Source organism: Homo sapiens, chromosome 3 (genome assembly GCF_000001405.40).
Source record: "Homo sapiens chromosome 3, GRCh38.p14 Primary Assembly".
In the NCBI taxonomy this organism is placed as follows: domain Eukaryota; kingdom Metazoa; phylum Chordata; class Mammalia; order Primates; family Hominidae; genus Homo; species Homo sapiens.
In genome coordinates this window covers 16,133,581-16,157,520 of record NC_000003.12, presented here as the reverse complement: position 1 = coordinate 16,157,520, position 23,940 = coordinate 16,133,581, and the positions used below count along the sequence as shown (strand labels likewise).

General features: G+C 43.4%; 2 long non-coding RNA genes across 2 annotated transcripts, besides 1 other annotated feature; one reads left to right on the top strand and one right to left on the bottom strand.

Moving 5' to 3' along the window:
• Positions 11,151-11,430: an enhancer, noted in NCBI's record as "active region_19539". NCBI's record gives its function as "activates an Ori minimal core promoter by ATAC-STARR-seq in GM12878 lymphoblastoid cells {active_cell/tissue: GM12878}" and the evidence as "EXISTENCE:reporter gene assay evidence [ECO:0000049][PMID:35858748]".
• LOC124909349 (uncharacterized) lies at positions 19,994-21,850 on the bottom strand. The gene is made up of 2 exons (XR_007095837.1): positions 20,842-21,850; positions 19,994-20,130 (listed from the first exon to the last, which is right to left on the bottom strand). It is a non-coding gene; the product is annotated as an uncharacterized LOC124909349 (long non-coding RNA).
• LOC124906216 (uncharacterized) lies at positions 20,589-23,886 on the top strand. Its single transcript, XR_007095835.1, has 3 exons — positions 20,589-20,906; positions 23,167-23,298; positions 23,809-23,886. It is a non-coding gene; the product is annotated as an uncharacterized LOC124906216 (long non-coding RNA).
• Positions 23,887-23,940: the final 54 nt, after the last annotated feature.

Sequence of the window (23,940 nt, the reverse complement as noted above, 5' to 3'; positions counted from 1 at the left end):
GAATAGAGAGTCTAGATATAGATTGATACAAATTTTTTAAAGCTGATAATAGTGATTCAGCTAAAGATGTGGGGAAAAGGGACTGCTTCTGTGCTGTTGCTAGGAGTGTAGATTGGTATCCTTTGATGAATATTCTGGGAATACCCAGTAATGCTGAGGACACACACGCTCTATAACACAGCATTTCTACTTCTGGGAGAAACTTTTGTACGTGTTCACTAGGAGACATTTGCAAGGATGTTCACTGAACCACTGTAATAGCAAAAACACATGAAATTACTAAATGTTCATGTAACATCATAAAATAAAGCAGTTAGAATGAATGAACTAAATCTACACAAATCAATACATATAAATTTCTAAAACATAATACCGAGTGAAAAAAGTAAGTTGCAAAAGGATGGTGTGATATTACTTATGTAAATGTTATAATAATCAAAATGATACTCCATATTAAGCATATATGATAATATATAAAATTATTAAAAAGAAAAACACCTTCAGGAGATGATTAATTCTGGGAATGGAGGGAAAGAAGAGACCAGAAGGGGAGAAAGGAGGCTTTAGCTCCCATCTTTATATCTGTATATATCCATAACTTCAAAATATTAATTGAAAGTTCTGATGCAAATACAACAAATTATCAACTTTTTAAAAACTTGGAATATAAATATATGGGTGTCTACTATATAGTTTTCAGTATGTTTGAAATAGTTTATAATTAAAAGAAAGTTAGTGGTGTCTTATTGAGGTTTTAATATTCTTTTGTGCGGGACCCCAGCATTTATTCAGGGTGTATTTAGTAATGTCTGAGAATGGGCTCATATGGTGTGAATGTTTGTCTCCTTCAAAATTCATATTGAAATTTAATTGCCGTTGTGACAGAATTAGAAGATAGAACCTTTAAGAGGTGTTGAGATCATGTGGTCTCTACCCTCATGAGTGAACCAAAGCTTTTATCATGGCAGTGGGTTCCCTATTGTGGGAGTAGGTTCACCCCTTCTTGCTCTCTCTGTCTCTTTGCCCTTTGCTGTGTGGTGCCTGATGCCATGTTTTGATGCAGAAAGAGGGCGCTTGCCATGCTGGCACCTTGATATTGGACTTTCTAGCCTCCAGAACTGTAAGCCAATAAATTTCTGTTCTTTATAAATTACCCAGTTTGTGGCATTCAGTGATAGCACTAAAAATGGCCTAAGACAAAAGCTCAGAGAAGCTGCTGAGAAAGGCAAACCCATCCTTGATTTTATATTTTATCATCCAATAGAAACAGAAGCTATAAGACAGGTCCAGTGGCTTGTGCCCATAACCCCAGCACTTTGGGAGGCTGAGGCAGGAGAATTGCTTGATGACAGAAGCTTGAGAGCAGCCTGGGCAACATAGAAAGACCCCATCTCTAAAAAAAATGTTTTTAAAGAGAGAAACAAGAGCTATGAAAATTTAGTGTAATATTTAAGACATTGATTTCTTTATTTTGTTATTCTGTTTTAAGAGTAGCAAGTCTTAAAACAGAAAGAAACTATGTTTATAGGAGGACAAAAATTGAGCAAAGAACTGAGGAGACAGGAAACTTCATAGCCATTCTTTCCTAATTCCTCAGAAGAACATCCTTCAAAAGTGTGTGGTCTCATCTTAAAAAGTTGAACCCATAGAAGCAGAGAGTAGAAACATGGTTGCCAGGGGGCAGTGGGTGGGGGCAATGGGGAGATGTTGATCAAGGGTACGAACTTTCAGTTGTGAGATGAAGATGTTCTGGGGATCGAAAGTATGGCATGGTGGTTATAGTTAGTAATACTGTATTGTTTACTTAAAATTGGATTAAAGAGCAGGTTTTAAGTGTTCTCAACACATACACACACACACACGCACACATGCACACAAATGATAACTATGGATGCTGATGGATATTTTAATTAATTTGATTGTGGTAATTGTTAGATAATGTATATGTACATCAAATTTCACATTGTATACATACAATTCTTATTTGTCGGTTAAATATATTTTTTTTCTTTTTTTTTTGAGACGGAGTCTCACTCTGTCACCCAGGCTGGAGTGCAGTGGTGTGATCTTGGCTCACTGCAAATTCCGCCTCCTGGGTTCACGCCATTCTTCTGCCTCAGCCTCCCAAGTAGTTGGGACTACAGGTGCCCGCCACCACGCCCGGCTAATTTTTTGTATTTTTAGTAGAGACGGGGTTTCACCATGTTAGCCAGGATGGTCTCAATCTCCTGACCTCGTGATCCACCCGCCTCAGCCTCCCAAAGTGCTGGGATTACAGGCGTGAGCCACCGCGCCTGGCCTATATTCTTAAAATATAACAGGTAGAAGCAGCTACCCACCAAATCTCTAAGGCCTGAAAGAGGAAAGTTAGAGAGTGTTGGAGACATCTGGAGCCTGAGCCTGGGCAGGAGCCTCATACTTCTGCTTCGCACTGTATCTAGGAAACTTAGCCCCTTGTCCAGCTTTCCCTTCTGTGCCCTCCCAAGGGCCACAAGCACTGTGTGTCAGTAAGGTTCCAGGGACAGACTCGAATGATGAGCCATTAGAAGCCATACTGTAATAAAGCTCCTGACTTATCTTACTTTTTTCTTCTCTGAATTCATCTTGAATAGTTTTTATTGCTATGTCTTCAATTCAACTAATCTTTTCTTCTGTAGTATCTAATTTGCTATTAATCCCATCCAGTGTATTTTTCGTCTCAGACATTCTAACTTTCTCTCTAGATGTTCTATTTGAATCTTTTTTTATATATATCTTCCATGTCTCTACTTAACATGCTCGATGTCTCCTTTACTTTCTGAAACGTGTAAAATATAATAATAGTTTAAATGTCCTTGTCTACTAATTGTATCATCTGCATCGTTTCTTGATCTGTTTCTATTAATTTTTCTCCTCATTATGGGTTATCTTTTCCTGCTTCTTGCATGACTGGTAATTTTTAATTTGATGTCAGACATCGTAAATTTTACCTTGATGAGTGTTGGACATTTTTGTTTTCCTGTAAGTATTGTTGAGTTTTGTTCTAGAATATAGTTAAGTTACTGGAAAATAGCTTGATTTTTTGAGCAGTCTTTAGTTAAGGGTCAATTTTTTCCCCACCACCGAGGCAAGACCCTCTCACTCTATCTGATGCCCCATGAAGTACAGGGTTTTCCACTTTGACTGGTGGAAACACTAACTAAACCTAATTCTCCGTGAGCTCTTAGGATTATTCCCTCTGCTCCTTTCAGGTGGGTCTTTTCCCAGAACACACATTGCATTGTTGCTTCACATGTTTGCTCTGATCAGAACTCATATGAAGGCTCTGCAAATCACTGGAGCTCTCTCTGGGTGTAGCTCTCTACTCTTCAGAACTACAAACTGTAACCTCCTTGACCTCCCCAGACTTCCAGCTCAGTCTCTTCAACTCAGGGGAACCACTAAGTTCCACCTGGTTTCCTTCTTCCTGCACTATAGCCTTGTAACTGCCTCCAGGCAATACACTGGGTAAATCACAGGACTCGCCTCATTTGTTTTCTCTCTCTCAGGGATCATTACCTTTGCTACCTACTGGCCAATGCCTGAAAACCACTGTGTTATATTTCTTCCCAGTTGTGTATATTTCTGAATTACAAATACTGAATATTTGAAGAGGAAATTACTTGAAGAGAAAGCACTTCTAATAATGTCCTCATTTGAGGTACCCTAGAGGCAGTTTCTGGGGAACAGTCGATCCTCTTTGTTAACAGATTTCATATTTACAAACTTGTCTACTCACTAAAATTAATTTGTAACTTCCAGAATCAATATTCTTGGCACTTTCACAGTTGATTATGGATATGCACAGAGCAGCAAAAAACTTGAGTAACTCAATGTGCATGTTCTCAGCTAAGGTCAAACAAAGCGATACTCTGCATTCACGTTTCAGCTTTCATATTGTAAACAAGTGTCCTTTTCATATTCTGCATAGCACCATGTTTTTCCAATTTTTATGCTTTTTATTGATTATTTTGATGTTTAAAATGGTCCCCATATGTAGTGCTGAAGGCTGTCTAGTGCTCCTGAGCAAAAGAAGGCTACAATGTGCCTCACACAGAAAATACATGTGTGAGATGAGCTTCATTTAGGCATAAGTCATAGTGTTGTTGGCCATGAGTTCAACGCCAATGAATTAATAATATATATTAATTTAGGTGTCTTTAAACATAGACATACCTAAAACAAGGTTATCTATTGATTAGCTGACAAAAATATTGTGACTGGAAGCTCACAGGAACCTAACCCTCTATTTCTCCTAGGAACAATTGTTCAGTATTTGCTAATTCAGTGTTCATGCAACTTTACAGAACATAAGTACTATGAATTCTTGTTACTGTACAATAAAATGTATAAGTGGTTTATTCAGGCGGTTAAAAAAATTACTGGCAAAGGAGAGGGGAGGAGAGATAGGGAGGATAAGGCAGCCTTTAAAGGGCATTTTATCAAGTCAGCTACCATTGTGGGTATCTAGAACTTAATAGCATTGGGGAACTCTGAAAATCAGGGTACTGATTTTGTGCCTCAGAGTTATTCCAACCAACGGGAAGGAAGCTAGGGTATTTATACACCAACTCCTATCAGTTGAAGACTGCTGAGAAGGTGCACTTATGACCTGTTGGGGAGCAACCAGAGAGGGAGTGGCTGCCAAAGAAAGTCCTCAGGTAAAAAGGTGCAGATCCTGGCAGTTTGAAGTCCAGCTTGGGTTTCTACTGCAATGGGAAAGGATATGAGCAGGATGCCAGGCAGCATCTGCTACAGATGGGAATACCAGTGCTTGTAAACTTAGATGCCTCCAGAAGCCAGGCAGGTAACATAAGCAAGAGAAGCAGGTTGGGTGGAACAGCATGAGCTAGAGAGTTCTATCCCTGTTTAACAAGAGCAGCTGTTACTCAGCTACAGCCAATTTTTGCCACGCAGGAAAAAAGGCCCATACTTGCCAAACCTTCTGATTTTTTCAAGAAAAGTGGGAAATTTTGTTTTTTTTAAATGTGAAATCCCCAATTTGTGGAAGTTGGCAAAAAATTTAAAAACACTGTTGAGTTCAAAGAAAACATATTGGCAGGCCAACTTCAGCCCACAGTCTGCCAATTTGCAACCTCTCTGATAAGAGATGTGCAAAGCTCCACCTGTTGGGTTTGAGTCCAGAGAAAATATATCTTTATATCACGTGCACACTGGGGCATTCTGTGAGTGCCAAGGGATGCCCTGGAAGTTGGCCCTGATATCCATATGGCAAGGCACCCCTGTCTCTGTCTAGTGATCTTACCTTACTCTCCTGTCTCAAGGTTTATTAGATATCCAAGAATCACTATTTTTCATGGCTAGTGGACTTCTTCAGTTATTTCTTATCACTGTTTGGCATTTTCCCTCTTGTGAGAAATTAGCTGAGTTTATTGGGCTATCTGGCATCTGCAAGTCTATGTAGCCCACTCCATAGTGAAGAACAGGGCTGCCTGCCCAGGCTTCCACCTGCACATAGAATAGAGACTGTCTGAAGGAGCTTACAATTTGAATGGCAGTGTTCACAGAGGCAGCACCTAGGGAATTGGCCAACATCTGGCATTTTCTGCAACACAGAAGGAGGAAGATGTCAATGGCTAGGCTCCCAGAAGGTGGCAGGGTACCTGTACCAGCCAGGGGTCAGGATTCAACCAGAGAAGCAGAGCCACTGGGAGATGATAGATAGATAGATAGATAGATAGATAGATAGATAGATAGATAGATAGATATAGATAGATAGATGATAGATAGATACAGATAGATAGATATAGATAGATAGATAGATAGATAGATAGATAGATAGATAGATAGATACATAGACACATTTTTTAAAGATTTGTTACAGAGATATGTCCTTACATCACTATGAGAACTGGTTAAGTAGCTTCTGGAAAGTTATTGTCTTCACATGTGATGTTGTAACTTTAAGTTCACAGGGCATGCAGTTGGGAAGGAAAGATGGACACAGAGTGGAGAGATCAAGAACAAGTTGGAATCCATAGGTACAAGGTGGAGCCCCACAAAGATGAATTAAAACCCGTGTCTTTTCTTGTTGCCTCTGATGTAGGTGGTTTGGGTGTCTTGGAGAAGCTGGGGCCTTCTGTCATAGAGCTAAACATAGATGGCTGGCCCAGAAAGCGGAAACTGAAGGAGGATCCAGGAGAAGATAAAGCACTTGCAGGCCCAGCAGTGGCTTCCTGCCAATGAGGCGAGTCAGCAGATCAGCAACATGTGTGAGCTGCAAAACAACTCTTGCTTCCCTCTGCCCTTCTAATCTCCCAAGAATCTCTCTTGGGTTCCACCATAGAGATACTGGCTGTATTAGTCCATTCTCACACGGCTATAAAGACATACCTGACACTGGTTAATTTATAAAAGAAAAGAGGTTTAATCAGCTCATGGTTCTGTGGGTTGCACAGGCTTCTGCTTCTGGGGATACCTCAGGAAACTTATAGTCATGGCAGAAGGCAAAGCAGGAGAGAGAGAGAGAGTAAAGGGGGAGGTGCTACACACTTTCAAACAACCAGATCTCATGAGAACTCTATCACAAGACAGCACTAGGGGGATGGTGCTAAGCCATTAGAAACCACCCCATGATCCAATCACCTCCCACCAGGCCCCACCTCCAACACCAGGAACTACAATTCAACATGAGATTTGGGTGGGGACACAAAGCCAAACCATGTCACTGGCAAAGCTCTATTTTTATTTCTGGGGATACTTCAATGTTTGGTTTTTGGCTCCTGACCAAGACAAGGGCAGTGGGACAAGGGATGTACTATTTAAGGTCCAATACTCCCCTGGCAATCCGCAGTGTTATCTTCTTTATTGGTGGTTTGCACCTGGCCTCACTAGTTTGAGCAGCCAGACTTGCCTACTTACAGAGCCACATAGCTCTTTGCAGTGGGTTCTCCTGAAGCCAAGATTCCTAGCACAGATCTTGGCAGTTCAATCCAGAGATTCAACATGGGCTGTGGGCACAAAGATTGGGCCCTTGTGGACAAACCTGGTGCTGCAGAATGCCTGTCAGACCTACACTGCTTCCCTGCATTCTCTTTCATTCCCTGTTGCCTTTAAATAAAAGCCTTATGTGAGTATACTCTGTAGAGCCTAGGAGATCCTTTCAAATATCTGAACTGGGGAAAATATACCCACTCTAACTGAAAACACATACGAAAGAAGATTCTGGAAAGAGTAGGTTGGCCTAGCTAATTGACACACTACAAAGTCACTGAAGTGTCCAGGGGCTTCGGTGTTCTGTGGCTGCCATCTTGATATAGAGATGGCTGCTGTTGGTACAGGGAGCAAGGACCCAGACCTAGGACTCTTCAGATACAACATTCCACTCATGCATGGGAAAACCAGAACCGGTGGAGTCTTAGAGGAAATAAAGACTTGTTGATTTCCTCAAGTTTACCCTTGTGATTCTACAGCTAAAAAATACGGCATTTCTTACTAGTTTCTAATGCTACTGAAGAGAATGAGAATGCAGAAGGGGTCTGCTTTGCCTTTGAAAGTTCTCTCTAGAGGCCGGGCGCGGTGGCTCACGCCTGTAATCCCAGCACTTTGGGAGGCCGAGGCGGGCGGATCACGAGGTCAGGAGATCGAGACCACGGTGAAACCCCGTCTCTACTAAAAATACAAAAAATTAGCCGGGCACAGTGGCGGGCGCCTGTAGTCCCAGCTACTCGGGAGGCTGAGGCAGGAGAATGGCGTGAACCCGGAAGGCGGAGCTTGCAGTGAGCGGAGATCGCGCCACAGCACTCCCGCCTGGGCGACAGAACGAGACTCCGTCTCAAAAAAAAAAAAAAAAAGAAAGAAAGTTCTCTCTAGAAAGAGCAGAAAGATAGGAGAAAACTAGAACTGCCAAGGGCAAGGTACAATATGGTAGATTTTGGTTCAATCAGTGGGAGAATTTTGTGCCAATAAGAGTAAGGGTTCAACCCATAAAGGAATTGCCTTGCAAGGAGCTGAGTCCACTTTTTTGACTTGATAGTTTTGAGTCAAGGTTTAACAACATTCATCGAATCATCCATTTATCCTTCCACACATCTATCCATCCAGTTATTGATTTATGAATGCAATAATTCACCAACATTTATTGACTACCAATTATGTTCCAGGTGCTGTGTTGGGTTGTGGAATTACAGCCCAGGGAGGAAGGCCCCTGGGGTTATTGACCACCTACTATGTGCTGGGTACTGCATTAGGTGCTAGAGTTTAGAGCCTGGGGTCCTGATCTGGGGACTCGTGAGAATTCTTCAGTTCCAAGCCACTGCCCTTAAGTGGATCTCCTAATTTGTGAGTCCCAGTCTGTTTCATCCTACCAGCCATGACTCCTTGACTTAGAGCAAACCATAGGGCTCCTGTAACCATTAAGAATGTGTTTTCTTGGCTGGGGCCAGGAGGGCTGGGCTGTTCTGGGCTGTGACCTCATTGTTTACCATCATTTAAAAAGATCTTCTGCCTCCCTTCTGTAGGCTGGATCAGAGCCAGAGACAGCAGGGTGGATGTGTGAAATAAACTCCAGCCAGCGTTACTATAATCTTGAACACCAAAACAATGGGTCACACGCCTACAGCTCCTGACTTCTTGGCAGCTTGGTGGGGCCTGAGCGCTTCCACTTTACCGTTTGAGATGGAGAGGCACTAGAAACAACTAATCTGTGAACATTTACAGTGTAAAATCCAAGTAGTTAGGGAGGAGATGAATTGATGAGCACTCAAATCTTAGCCCTCTGGGAAAGACTAGAAAATATCTTTAGCTTGACATTTAAATCTCTGATATGATCCAGATGCTGTCAATTTACCAAACACCTCTCCCCAAACTCGCAGAGCACCTGGAAGGGGAAGGGTGAGGTGTTGTAGGAAATGCAGTCTCAGGAGGACAAGGAGGGCAACGGTCCCTGAGCTGCGTGGGCTGGGCTTTACTCCTTGAATGTTCTTTGTACTGTGTGCCAATTTGCAAGGGTGGGACTGTCTCTAAAGGGGGCTTTTGAAAATCATGTACTCTCCTGGAAACATGAGATGGTCCCTGAAAGAGGCAATGTGCAAGGCTGGAGAAAACTTGCTAATAAGCAAGGTGTTCATCGGTCCAGAATGTAGGCATTCCCTGACTCGAGAGAGGAGGCAAGGCTGAGTTCCCCTACACAGAGTTCCCATTGCCCACGGGAGCCTTCAGTTAGGCCTCATGTTCAATTATGGGTTCAGAAGGCCGTATATTCAGATGGTTTGGGGCATAGAATGCATCAGGAGGGTACCTTGAATATATGAAGTAGGTTGGAAGTAGAGTAGGACTGGAGGAAATCCCTGGTAAGCTTGTCTGAGGAGGCTAGAATTGAAGTTTATGCGCCTGATTCTGGGTTGGTCAGAGTTGTGAGTGGGATTGGATCCCAGTCCAAACTCTGCCACTCATTCCCTATGTGGATCCTGGACAAGTCCCTTCAGCTTATTTATTCATCAAATGAAAGGGCTGCATTGGATGTTCACCCAGATAATTTTCAGCACTAGGATTCTATGATGGAAAGTGGGCATACAGTTCATGGACTGAGTTGTAAATGTTGCTTATAATATGGAGGGTTTGCCTTAGCCATTTGTACAGAACCTCTGAATAGTCATGCAGCTGGAAGAAAGTGAAGACATCTTGAACACCCTACATAGCCTCCTTGCTTTCTGAACAATAGAGCTCTTGGAATAACCAAGTTCCTGGCATCTGCAAATAAAACTCCATGGAGAATCAAGTCATCAGTCACAAAGAGCTGTAACTTCAGGCATTTAAGACTATCCTGCATTCCGGTTAAAAATGCCCATGCTCTTGGTTCAGAATATTGATTTAAGTTTTAAATTACATTTGCATATTGATATCAAAAGCCCTTCTCATAACCCTGAAAATAAATCAAATAAATTAATTGGAACAACTATGGCAACACTCCACCCCAGCAGTGAAATCACTCTCCTAGAGTCCTGAGTTGAGCTTGTAACCCGGTAGAGAGAATCATAGCCTTGACTGGGGAGGATGGTGTGCTGTTGAAGGCAAGTGTCTACCACAGCTGTGTGAAGAGGCCAGAAGACAGTGTCAGAGAGAAGGCTGAAAGGCACTTCCTGGGTTGGGCATTAGTACTTTTTCTGCATGAGTCAGGGAGAAAAGCATTGCAACCTGAGGAGGTAGCTTTGCATCAAAAACCAGAAGCTCTGCCTCTTCCTAATAATAGCATTACCATTTGCATTTTATTTGTTTATTTATTATTCCCTTCTTCACTTCTGAAAGGATTTGTGGCAGCTGGTGTATACATTCAATTCAATCAGACAAAATAAATAGCTAAGTACATGGGGTTGAAGGGAAAGTAGGCTCAGGAAGTAAGATAAAAACAGAAATGAAGTTAGCAAAGTAAGTATAAATCTGTACAATTCCTAGAAGTGAGCTACAAATTGACTCTGAGCTTCCTAGCAGCCAGTGTAAAGGAAGGAACATGGTTAGTCATCAGACTCACAGTATCCACAGTGCAAGAATATTCCAATTGGACAGTCAATAGAGCCTCCTGATCATTGTCTGTGAAACCAGGAGCTTTCAGAGTTTTAGTCTTTAAATGGCAAGAACCTGGAGAGAAAATATTTAAATTGATCATCAAAAGCAGTGCCAAATGCTTTGATAATCAAGAAAATAGAACAGGGCTGATATTCTTTTGGGTCTTAAAATACCTGCTTATGCCATGGTGCATGTCCATAATTCCGATTACTTGAAAGGCCAAGATGGGAAACTCACTTGAGGCCAGGAATTCCAGACCAGCCTGGGCAATATAATGAGACCCTGTCCCTCCAAAAAAAAAATTGCAAAGCAAACATGCTTAATCTAGGATTTATGCCTGTGTATAAGCCCCCCCTCCACTCGCAGGGAGGTGGGCTGAAGGAGACCCTGGGCAGGGCCTGACTGACCTCAGAATGCTGTTTTGGACAAAGGTGCAGTAAAATGTCCACTGTTCTAGGCCCTAGAGCAGTGGGCCTTTAACCCTGGGTGTGTGTCAGAATGATTTAGGCATTTTGAACAACAACAAAGCTTGGCCTCCCAGGGTATTCTAATGTGCAGCCAGAGATGAGAAGCACTGCCTGGGGCATGGATGGGGTTTTCAGGTGGAAAAAACCCAAAGCAGCTGTTACCAATCACTAACTACAGTCACAGTTAGTAAGATGCCCTTGCTATACATGATGGTGACTGATGTAAGATCCTGGGGAATGCCCAGAAAAATGTACCTGGAGATGCTGAAGGAGTTGCACCTGCTGTATCCAATTGTTGGGTCTTAGCCAATTAACCTTAGGAGATGCCTGGCCACAGGAATGACTCCATCCTTTTCAGAAGGAGGCCTCCTATGGACATTTGCTATGACTGGTTTCTAGGGTGACGAGCCATCCTTTTTGACAGGCTTACCAGATCACAGGGCTTTCAGTGCTAAAATCAGGAAAGTCCCAGGCAAACTGAGATGAGTTGGTCATCCTCTTAGTTTTTGGTTTTTGGTTTTTTGTTTGTTTGTTTTTTTTTTTCAGGACAGGATCAGAGTGAAAAGGGGATGACTTGACCAATGAGAAACAGTCATGCCTGAGACACTCAGGGCTGGTTGGGATGCAGGGCGGGATTATAGTCCTCTGTGGAGGTTGACCCGGTCAGCTTGTGGTCTCCCATGTAGCTGAGCTGCCAAATTTGGGGTCTTCCTTCACTTCTGTTCCTATCTCCCTAAGACATTTCTGTATCCATTCCAGAGCCAAACAGGTACCAAGCCAGGGATCTGGAGCCTCTGGACCCTGGGAGAAAGTGAAGTTTCCCCAAACCCTGAAGATCTGCTTTGTTGGGTCCCCCAGGACTGCGGCTCTCCTTCCAAGTCAGGACGGGGTCAGCGCAAGACTCACTGCCTTTCTCTGCAGCCTTGGTCCTTAAAAATCAGGTGGGCATCCCTTGGGTTATAAATATTCAGATAATATAAGATCTCCACAGGCAGCTGGTGACCAGCTACCAGGACCAGTCTCATGGGGTGACCTTTGCCATTACATACAGGCCCTGGGGTCAGAAGGGCCCATGTCTTAATGCTTTGCCATCACTGCCTTGAAATCCTTAGTAATTTTTGAAAAAGGGGCCCACATTTTCATTTGACACTGAGCCCCGCAAATTGTGCAGCCTGTCCTGCCTGCCACCACAGCCCCAAAGCTACCCTTCTATCTCCATTCCACCCCAATACATTGACTTCTGCTGCCTTTGGCAGTGATGCCATTGCAGAAAAACCAGCAATAAAATAAAGAGGTTGTATCTCAGGGGCTTCCAAACCGCTTAATCACCTTTCCAAGAGGTGTAGCTCCCAAATCTGCATTTTAGGAGAAGTTCCTAGAGGAACATAGTGCAGATTAGTCTTGAATATTTTAGAGCAGAGGTCTACTTTAAATTTAAAAGAGAGAGAGAGAGAAGAAACTGAGAGGGGAACAGCTTGGAGTTCCTGACCCTGGAGGCAGAGCTTCAGGCCATGAGATTCTGCCTACGATACCCCCATTTGGCCCAGATTGTGGGGACTTTCCCCTTCATGTGTTTCACTGCCTGAAATTGAGAGAAAAGGATCTCCATTACCGTTTCTGAGTGCAGGGTCTTTGAGCCCTGGGCCTGCTCTCTGCCTTTTAGCCTCTGCCACCCCAAATGGCCAGGCCGGGTTCCTGGGAAGAACCTCCAGATCAGCTCTGGAGTCTCACCCCTTGCCTGCACCCCTCTCAGCTCTAGGGGCCTCTCTGCTGCACCCCTCTGTCCAGCCCCTCCAGCTGTTATGCCCATGTTTGCTTCTGATTTTGACTGACCTTGGCTGGTTGCTCTGGGATGAGTCCTCCAGGCACCCTTCCAGAAGACTCCAGAGAAAACAATTACCTGTCCCTTCCAGGGCCAAGCTGCTAGTCCATATGATGTCTTTGTGAGAGTTAGAAAACAGTGCCCCTAGGTAAGTCTCATTGGTAAAATGTACAGCAGTTTTGGCTTCAGGCTTGGCTGGATCTAGTGCTCAGCAGCACATTTTTCCATGCCAAGTCTTGTTTGGAAAGGCATGATGATCAGTACTCCTTCCCCCATCACAGGCAGCATGGTTTGGGTTGGCATGCTTTGCCTTCTTTCTGCAGGGTCTCTTGTCATCTGATGCAGTGGTGTGCTGGTAAATGTTTAACAATTAGTTCTCAGTGTTGGTAGAAGGGATGCTTTGACTTGTAGTGTGAGGGTTCAGTCAGGCTGGTGGGAAAAATTTTAGTTATAATAGCCACAGACCCTCTTGGAAGGCCTGAGAGTTTGCATAACTTTGGTAATAGATCTGGCTGAAGGCTGCCTAGTCCCTTTACCTTTAGTTAAATAGATTAAAGTAGATACAAAGGAATGTGGAGGAGTTTATCTTACTAGCTTGTTTACTCATGACTAACCGTTGATCTACTGCAGGTGCTTAATTGCTTTCTACTTGGGAGGTCTGCAATGTCAATTACCCTCTAGTGGTGTTGACTCAAGCCTTTGTCAATTAATCTTTACTGAATAAATGCCAGTCTCACTGGCTGGTGGGGGCTGCAGTCGCAACTGTTTACAGCACTCTCCTGGGAGTCTGTAAGCATTCCCCACACTCAGCTGGACTGACAAAGCAAAATATCTGTGTCGGTGCATGTTATTCCTCTGTCGCTGGGTCAGGGTCTGCAGGACAGCCCCCCACATCATAGCATTTGCCAATTTTTGTGATGTAAAACAGTGTGTCATTGTGGCCTATTTCAAGCTACCAGGACCATATCACTAAACAGGAAGAGATGTAGAGTAGGGCATCATTATATAGTATTTCCAGATTCTATAGATGTAAATAACCTCAGAACCATAGGTAATAGTAAAATGTGGTAAAATAATTAGGAAATGTATTTTGTGTATCCATTACCTTTGCTTTCATATAATTCATTTAATTATAAGTTCATATAATTTAATTTTTAATAATGGGCATGTTTAACAACTGGGTAGCAAGAAAATTTAACAACTGGCTCTCAAAAGTTAGTACCAACCAGCTCAACACATCACTGATTCTGGAACTGGGCTCAGTGATTAACAATGCTGTGATCAATTAACAATGTCTGCTAAGGACACAAGAGAAAAGTTTATGGCACACGTGCTACATGTTTGCCTTTTCTAGAATGTAGTGATTTTATAAAAGCAAACTTTTGGGGTTTTGTTTTGTTTGTTTTACTGCAAAGAGGCTGGTATCACCAAAGGAAATGGCACCTTTCTCCCTGGGAAGAAACGTGTAGCTCTTGCCCCAAATTTACAATGCTTCTGAGGTGGTGTCTGGCCACATCACATTGGCATTGCCAAAGTCCTGGAAAGAAAGGAGTGGGAAACACCTGGGGAAATTTTCTCATTTTTGTCCTAAGATGCTAACAACTCCATTAAGACTGCACAATACAGAAAAGTCAACTGCTGAAATGTGGGAGTAAATTGTTTTTCGGCTTCTTTTGCTTAGATGTAGGGAGTCCTCAAGGTCAGAATTGCACAGTTTAAAATCTCATTAACACTTTCTGCACTGGCTTTCCATTTCCTTTCTGTTTTTCCTGGTGGTATTTGCCAGCAGCTGAACCAACCCAGGGTCTGGCTGGCTCTCAAAGGGACCAGGCAACAGCTGCCTCAGTGGAAGCACGAAGGGGTTAATGTGGCTTCTCACGTGTCAAGAAGTCTCTTAATGAGCTGTTAGCATTTGATACAATCTGGCTCAGTGGCTGTGACTTAAGAATGTCCAGATATTATTATCTGTGGAGCTGAAAAAGGCTCCTTGAGAACTAGGGACCAAGGCTGCTGCTGTTTTCCCCGCTCTTGCTATACCTGTGATTACTGCCAGAATCTGTACACAGTGGGTGCTTCATAAATCTTCATCCCAAATTGATCAGTTAGGGAGGTATGAGTCACAGTGCAGAAAAAATTCTTGCCAACAGTGGTTTTTCAGTTCTTTATTGAGGTGTCATTCATAGATAGTAAAAGGCACACGTCTTAAGTGTACAGCTCAATGCTTTTTGCATACATGTGTAAATATCCATGTGACCATCACCCTATCAAGATGTAGGACATTTCCTTCCCCCTAGAAATTTCCCTTGCCAGTCACTAACCCTTCCCTTGATGTAACTACTTGCTGTGGACTATTTGTATCCCTCCAAAATTTACATGTTGAAACCCCATCCCCAATGTGATGGTATTTGGAAAAGGGGCCTTTGTGAGGTGATTAAGTTTAGATGAGGCCATGAAGATGGAGCTTCCCAGGATGGGATTAGTGCCCTTAGTGGAAGAGAAAAGAAACCAGACCACATGTGCTCACGCTTGCATTCTCTCTCTCAACCTCTGTCTCTGTCATGTGAGGATTAAACAGGAAAATTGCCATCTGCAAACCAGAAAGAGAGCCCTTCCCAGACACTGGCTTTGCCAGTGCCTTGATCTTGCACTTCTCAGCCTCCAGAACTGTGAGAAATAAATGTTCATTGTTTAAGCCACTCAGTCTGTGGTATTTTTGTTATAGGAGCCCGAACTAAGACACCACTATTCTGATCGTAGTCTCTTGATGTTGCCATAATAAAATACCATAGTCTAGGAGGCTTTTACCAACATAAATTTAGTTTTCATAGTTCTGAACTCTAGGTCCAAGATCAAGGTTCTGGCCAGTCAAGTTTCTGGTGAGGGCTCTCTTCCTGGCCTGCAGGTGGCTACCTTCTCCCTTTGTCCTCTCATGGCTCTCCTTAGCACATGCTGGTGGAAAGGGAAAGAATGAGCTCTCAGGTGTCTTTTTTGTTGATGTTGTTGTTGTTGTTGTTGGAGATGGAGTCTCGCTCTGTCACCCAGGCTGGAGTGCAGTGGTGCAATCTTAGCTCACTGCAACCTCTACCTCCTGTGTTCAAGTGATTCTCCTTCCTCAGCCTCCCAAGTAGCTGGGATTACAGGCACACACCACCACGCCCAGCTAACTTTTGTATTTTTAGTAGAGACAGGGTTTCACCATGTTGGCCAGGATGGTCTCGATCTCTTGACCTTGTGATCCACCCGCCTCAGCCTCCCGAAGTGCTGGGATTATAGGTGTCAGCCACCGCACCCAGCCAGGTGATTCTTTTTATAAGCACGCAAATCGTATCAGGGCCTCATTTAACCTTAATTACTTCCTTGGAGGCCCCATTTCCAAATAAACTTCTACACAGGGGCTTAGGGCTTCAACATAGGAATTTGGGGAGGGATACACCAACATTCAGCCTATAATAGACCTCTGTCATACAGATGAGTATTGCTGGTTCTAGAGCTTCGTACAAACAAAATCATGTAGTATGTACTCTTTTGTGTCTGGCTTCTTTTCTTCAATGTAATCTTTTTGAGGTTCATTCATGTTGTTGCATGTCAGTGGTTCATTCCTTTTTATTACTGAGTAGCATTTCATTATACAAACAAACCGCAATTTGTCTATCCATTCTTCTGTTGATGAATATTTGGGTTGTTTCCACTTTGCCAACAGGTATTTATTCTATACAGGGCACTATGTTAGCTGCTAGGCTATAAAGAAATGTCACCCATGTCCCTGCCCATCAGGAGCTTATGCTTGGGATCTGTGCTTAGAAAATAGCCAAGGATACACCAATGTATAAAACAACATATGACTCTGACTCACTGAACAGAGACTGAGTCGGGTAATCAGAAGGAAGCAGTTTCTTAAGGAATACCAGTAAAGTCTGTTTGTAAATACACACACTTAAATGAGCCAGCTTAAGAACGCTAGCTGCCAGAGAAACAAAAGCAACTCCAAGTGAGGTCGGAGCTGGCAGGTACTTGGTCCTGCTGCATGGATACCTCCGGGAAACCTCATAAATGCTTCATTTCCTGTGTTCTGGGCCAAAGAACTTCATGAAGTGGGAGCAGGGTGAAAACATTCCCCTTGGAACAAAGCTGGCTCCTGATTTGTTTTTGTGGTTTTCTCCAAGAGGGCAGGGAGGGAAAGGTCTGTCCTCAAAAGGACAGCTAGGCCATGGTCAGGATGGTTTCACTGTGGTCAGGCGTGGATGCTCTGAGTAGAGGGAAGGCAAGGTGGACAAAGGGGTAAGGGCCCTGGGGTCCCAGTTTGGGGTCTAGTGGCTGAATAATGAGTTTCTCTGGCCCACAGGTGGATATGGGTAAGTCAGGTAGAATGTTTGGCACCAGGGGCAGGGCCATGAGGGCAGGGATGGGCGGCTGGAACTTGACAGCCCAAAAGGGTGCCTGAGAGCCCTCCCAGGGCTCTGTGGCAGAGCTGCTCATATCCCTGCCCATGGGTCTGAGAGTTGGGGTTTTGTGTGTCCTCACAAACCTTTGGAAGCCCACCCCTCAAGTTCTATCCTATCAAGCTCTATCTATGGTCACAGGACGTGGTCTTTCCTTGCCGTGATGATATTGGATGACAGAGTAGTAAGTGACCTCAGAGCTCCTAAGTTTTCAGAGGTGAGGGGTGATGGAATGGGGGAGTTCGGGGAGATTTCAGGACAGTTACTCAATGAAAGTTTCCAACCAGAATTTCATGACCATGTCAGTTATAACTATTCATGGAATATCAATATCACATGAATTTTCTGTTTCCTCTGGTTTTAAACTTTCTCTTTTACTTTTTTTTTTCACTGAAAAGACAAAAACTACATTAAATATAACTTGGAAAAAAAACCAATAAAGTTTCCTAATAGATATTTTCATGTTTGATTTCCCTCCAGTTCATATTTTACATATTGCTTTTTTCACAACACGTTAGCTTGAGCATTTGCCATGTTGCTGCAATAGTCTTTATGATAATTATGCTTATAGCTGTGTAATATTAACTGCTCATGTACCATAATTTTCTATTTTCTATTTCTGGCCATTTAAGTGTTCAGATTTTGCTCTTATGTATAACTCTGCCAACGAGTAATTCCTTTTTTTTTTTTTTTTTTTTTGAGATGGAGTCTCACTGTTTCACCCAGGCTGGAGTGCAACGGCGCGATCTCTGCTCACTGCAACCTCCACCTCCCGGGCTCAAGTGATTCTCCTGCCTCAGTCTCCCAAGTAGCTGGGATTACTGGCGCCCACCACCAAGCCCGGCTAATTTTTGTATCTTTAGTAGAGTCAGGGTTTCACCATGTTGGCCAGGCTGGTCTCGAACTCCTGGCCTCAAATGATCCACCCGCCTCGGCCTCCCAAAGTGCTGAGATTACAGGCGCGAGCCACCGCCCTCGGCCTGTAATTCCTCTTTTAAAAGAATTTTTACCCAAAGGTGCCACTCAGCACAGCCTTGACGGAGAGCCAGGTTTTCTCTGTTTGTGGGGCAGAAGGATGAAGAAGACTTGGACTTAGAACTACATCATTGTGGGTTCAAAGGGAAAGATAAATGGGTGTGCAGTGAGGGGAACTTCAAAAAGTCTAATTTCCAAAATGTTAAAAAAAAAAAGCATGATTTTCATACAAATACATAATGAGTACATGTCAAGGTTTTATTTTAACTCATTAATGGGAGAACCAAGTATATAAGAAAAACAGATGTAAATGTGGTTAGTAAAAGAAAAAACTGTAGAATAAGATCTCAAAGTTAGATACTAAGCTGATTGTTTTTCTTCAGAGCAGTAAAACTGTAAACTTTAGGATTATCTTCTCTACTAAACAGGAGACATTTTTATTTCTGTAGGACAAAAAATTATTTGCACTGTTATTGGATAAAAACTCTTTGTATCAGCTGGGCACGGTGGCTCACGCCTGTAATCCCAGCACTTTGGGAGTCCGAGGCGGTCGGATCACGAGGTCAGGAGATCGAGACCATCCTGGCTGACACAGTGAAACCCCGTCTCTACTAAAAATACAAAAAATTACTTGGGCGTGGTGGCGGGCGCCTGTGATCCCAGCTACTTGGGAGGCTGAGGCAGAAGAATGGTGTGAACCCCGGAGGTGGAGGTTGCAGTGAGCTGAGATCATGCCACCGCACTCCAGCCTGGGCGACAGAGCGAGACTCCGTCTCAAAAAAAAAAACAAAAAGAAAAACACCTCTTTGTATCTTAGTGCTTCTCAACAAACTAACAGCTAACCTTTGAGAACTGTGAGAACTGTAAAATCATGAATCGAGAATAAATAATAATTCTACTAGAAAGTCGCATGGCCCATGTGCAAGCTTGACAGTGAAGGTCATGCATCTTTTTGCCTTTTTCCCAACTTTTGGGTATTTTTTTTTTCTTGAAGACAGACCTGGAGAGGAGACTCCATGATGCTATTAACTGCCCATCCCCCATTCCCCACCCCCTCTACCCGGCAGGCATTTTAGTACAAGGTAGCACAGGGAGCATGTCCTCTTGGTCTGAAGCCGGGTAGGGGTACGCAGGGTCAGCAAGGACAAAAAGGAAGCTTGAACAATTAACGTCCTATCCCTGAGACGGCTGGAGAGAGAGGTCCTGGAGCCTATGAGAGGAACAGGAATGAAGCCCAGGATTTGACTAGAAGCCCAGACCACCCCTAACTCCCAAGGACTCTCACTGGGAAGGACCTGAAAGAGACTCCAGAAGTTCAGGTGGAATTTGTTTTACGAAGTTAAATGATTACTTCATTGTAGATTGGGGTTTTGCCTTAATATTTTTGCACTGTTAACAATATTGTTCACCTTAATCACCGTGAGCCTTTTGTCCCACGCACTCCTTAGCACCTCTGAACCTAGAAGTCTAACGGCCTGGCAGCCCCTCGGGCTTTGTGCTTTCACCTCTAGGCCTGGCTGAGGCATCTTTGCCTCCTCTTCTTGTTCCTGGGCAGACCCTGGCTCTTTGAGACAGAGCAGCAGGGGTAGAGAACTACAGTCCAACTTGCCCTGGTGCCCCCAGCACTTTCTAGGTTAGAAAACTGGAAGTTTCACATCCCAGGATCCCCACTCAATTCCAGGAAAACTGGAACCGTTAATGTCTCAGTCAGCTCAGGTTGCCGTAACAGAATACCATTAAACAGGACAGCATAAACAACAGAAATTTATTTTCTCACTGTTCTGGAGGCTGGCGGTCTAAGATCAAAGTGCCATCATGATTGGGTTCTTGTGAGGTCTCTCCTCCTGGTGTGTAAACAGATGCCTTCTTCTTGTGTCCTCACGTGCTAGACAGTGGGGTATGGGGGGGGAGGGAGAGAGAGAGAGAGAGAGAGAGAGATCTGGTATTTGGTGTGTCTCTTCTTATAAGGGCACTAATCCCATCATGAAGGCCTCACCCTTATGACCTCATCTAAACCTCCTCATCTTCCAAAGGCTCTGTCTCATAATACCATTACATCAGAGGTTAGGGCTTCAAGATATGTATTTTAGTTCAGTCCATAGCAGTTGGTCACCCTAAGTCTAGTCCCACTCTTGATCTGAGCAGCTGTTGGATGCTGCTGTTTTCAACCTGAGAAGTTTTTAAAACTATTTTCCTAGTCTTAACTCTATTGTTATATCTCTCTTAAATATCTTCTTAATTCATGAAGGCCAGACTATAGTCCAGGACCCATAAAAGTTTCCCATGTATTTCAGTCTGGAACAGAAATGAGTACAAGTTTTGTATTTTTGTTTTCTAGCAAGGAGACATTTGTGGAAGCTTCCAAGAAGACAAATGGAATGGAATAGGATGTTTACTTTCACGGATCAGAAATGAATCACGTTGCTTTCTTTCAGAGTTGTAGAGTCTTAGGAAAGAAACAACAGAAAGAAAATGTTTTGTAGAGGAGAGCTGTGAAAAGAACAGACTTCTGAGTGGAGTACCTGGGTCAGGAGATATGGATCGATTCTGTGATTGGGCTCCTGAAAAACAATAAACTTGCCATGCTTTTGTATACCTGGATGCGGTCTCCAAATGCTCTCTCTAGGCATTTATTCTGCTCCAGGGTCTTCAGAAGAACAGGTTAGTAGCTGGTCAAAGGGAAGGGAGGAAGAGGGGAATTGTGCTGGTGTGAAACGGTTTGATGGCTGAACTCCCCTTAGGGTTGTAGGCAAAAGCAGATCCCTGGATAATGGGGGTACCAAGCATAGCTCTGAAAATAAAATGTTATTGGCTCCAGTCTGAAACTGTCAATTTCCACTGAAACGGAATAAATTATTCAGAAAAGAGAAGCACCAAATATTATGCAGTCTGCCTTTGGGGAAAGAAAAAAACACCCACTTCTTATAAAAACACTTTTTTGGGATGAAGGATTTGATTTCAACTGATGAGTCATCACTGTGTGTGTGTTTTTTACCACTTAGCCAAAAAGTGAGATTTTTAAAAAGCATTTCTTGAAGCAAATTCTTCCATTGCTTGGGGTTCTCTCATCTAAGAGAGAAGGCATCCTAAGCACTTATATCCACAGTGCCAGCAGCTGTCCCAGCTTGCATGAAAGATATTGTTGGGCAAGATTTGTAGCTCTCAAGTTCCAGATTCATTATGAAAAGGCGACCTCAACATAACATTCATCATCTAAAAGCAAGAAACAGAAAATAAAGAAACAGAAAATAAAATTTAAAACCAATTTCAATGAGTAAAGCATATGTTTACAAATGGCATGATGAATGTCGGAAAGACAAAAGAATTTAAGAGAGCTTGTGCTCCCACTCGTGCGGGCATGGCAGTGGGGTGACCACACGTCTTGGTTTCCCAAGGACAGTCCTAGCTCATGCCTGAAAAGTGCCCACTTTGACTCTCAAAAGTGCCCACTTTGACTCTCAAAAGTATCTTGCTTTGGACAGTGAGTTATATGGTTACCCTAAGTGTTGTAGTTTTAAAACATGTCTGCAAATTCTTTGACACTCCTGTCATCAAAAAGTCGATGTCCCGGCTGGGCACAGTGGCTCACGCCTGTAATCCCAGCACTTTGGGAGGCCAAGGCAGGTGGATCACCTGAGGTCAGGAGTTCGAGACCAGCCTGGCCAACATGGTGAAACCCTGTTTCTACTAAAATATAAAATTAGCTGGGCCTGTTGGCTGAGTGCCTGTAATCCCAGCTACTCGGGAAGCTGAGGCAGGAGAATCACTTGAACGTGGGAGGTGGAGGTTGCAGTGAGCCAAGATCGTGCTATTGCACTCCAGCATGGGCAAAAAGCAAAACTCCATTTAAAAAAAAAATATCTATGTCCCTTCCCCTTAACAGTGGCCAGGCTTTTGTGATCACCTGAGTGAATAGCATGGGATAGCAGTGACGCTACCTGATTTCCAAGTCTAGGTTAGAAAAGGCCATGCAGCTTCTCCTGGTTTTTCTTGGGATACTTGCACTGGGAGTCATCTGCCACCCTCTAAGAAGTTTGACTACTCAGGAGCTGCTGTGCTGGAGGGACCACATGGAAAGACCAGAGAGTGAGAGAGTGGGAATAAGAGATGCATGCTCAGCAACAGCTGGTCTAGCTCCAGCTATTTGAGTGTTCCCAGTCCAGGTACCAAAGATGTGAGTGAGAAAGGCTTTGAGGTCACTCCAGGCCCAGCCACCACCTGACTACAGCAACATGAGAGGCCCCAAGTGAAAGGTGTCTGGCTGAATCCAGTCAACCTCCAGAACCATGAGAGAAAATAATAAAAATAAATGATGTTGTTCTTGTATGCCAGTTAAGTTTGAGATGGTTTGTTATGCAGGCAGAGGTAACCAAGAGACTAGGTGTAGGCTGGTTAAGCATGGCATTACCTGATGGTAGCTGGAGGGTCCCTACTAAGCACTTTCAAGTTGCTGCAACTTTTTTATTATGAACCTTTGCTCATTCGTTTTATTATAAATGTTGCAGCCGCATTGGCTTCCTTTCAGTTCTTCCTGTAGCCAAGCTCATTCTGTGCCAGGATCCACTGTCTGGAACATTTCTCTCCTCTCCCCTACTCCTTCCCTTTTTATCTGTCTTAGTCTTATTCGCCCTCCAGGTCCCAGCTTAAAAACACCTTCTTGATTCCTTCTGATAGGTTCTTAGCTTTCTCACAGACACTTGAGAGAAATTGTATTTTGAAAAAATCACCACAGCTATACTTTTATCATGCTATTCCAAAATTTTGCCATTCCCTTATCAAGAGGTGGTGTCTATTTCCCCTCCCTTTGAAATGGTGCAATACTTTCTGTTTGCAATATTGACTAGAATGGGGCAGAAGCAACGATGTGTGACTTTGAGTCTAGGTCATAAAGGAATGTGGTTTCTACCACTATCCTTCTCAGGATACACACCCTGGGAACTCAGCCACCATACTGTGGGGAAGCCCAGGCCACATGGAGAGGCCACGTGTATGTATTCCATCTGACAGCTCCAGCTGAGGTCCCAGCTGCCGGCCATCATTAACTGCCAGACAGGTGAGTGTGTTTTCCTTCAAATGATAGCAGTACCCTACTTCTGAGCCATGCTAGCTAATGCCAAGTAGAGCAGGAATGAGCTATCTCTGTTGACTGCTCAATACTATGCAATCTATTGTCATTGTTGTAAGACTAAGTTTTAGGATGGTTTGTTATGCAGTAATAGATCATCAGAGCACTACTGTGTTTTTATTTCTTAAAACTGCCCCAACTGTGATTATGTAAATATTATTAAAATGATACGCTCGATGTCTGTTTCTCCTTCTGAATTGTGAGACCCATGAGAGCTGGGACCCTGAATGCCTTGTCCACTGTTGTATGTCCAGCACATGACCATGTCTACTACAAAAGAGGAGCTTCAAAATAGAATTGTGGAATGGAAGTTGTTTTGATAGAGTTATACTCTTTGAGCTCAGGTTATACTGAGTTCCCTCCTCTACTGTAATTTTACTGAATAAAACCTGTCCCCCAATCTTTAATTTAGTGTCCGGTTCTGTTTCTCTTTGACAGCACCCAAGAGAAACTGTGACTTCAACTGTAGTAGAAAGCTTTGAAGAGAAGAGTGATGAAGTTCCATTTCAGAGGGTCCTGGTTTTGTCCTGCAATAAAGCAGGAGGTGGACATGAGGATGAATGACCCTTT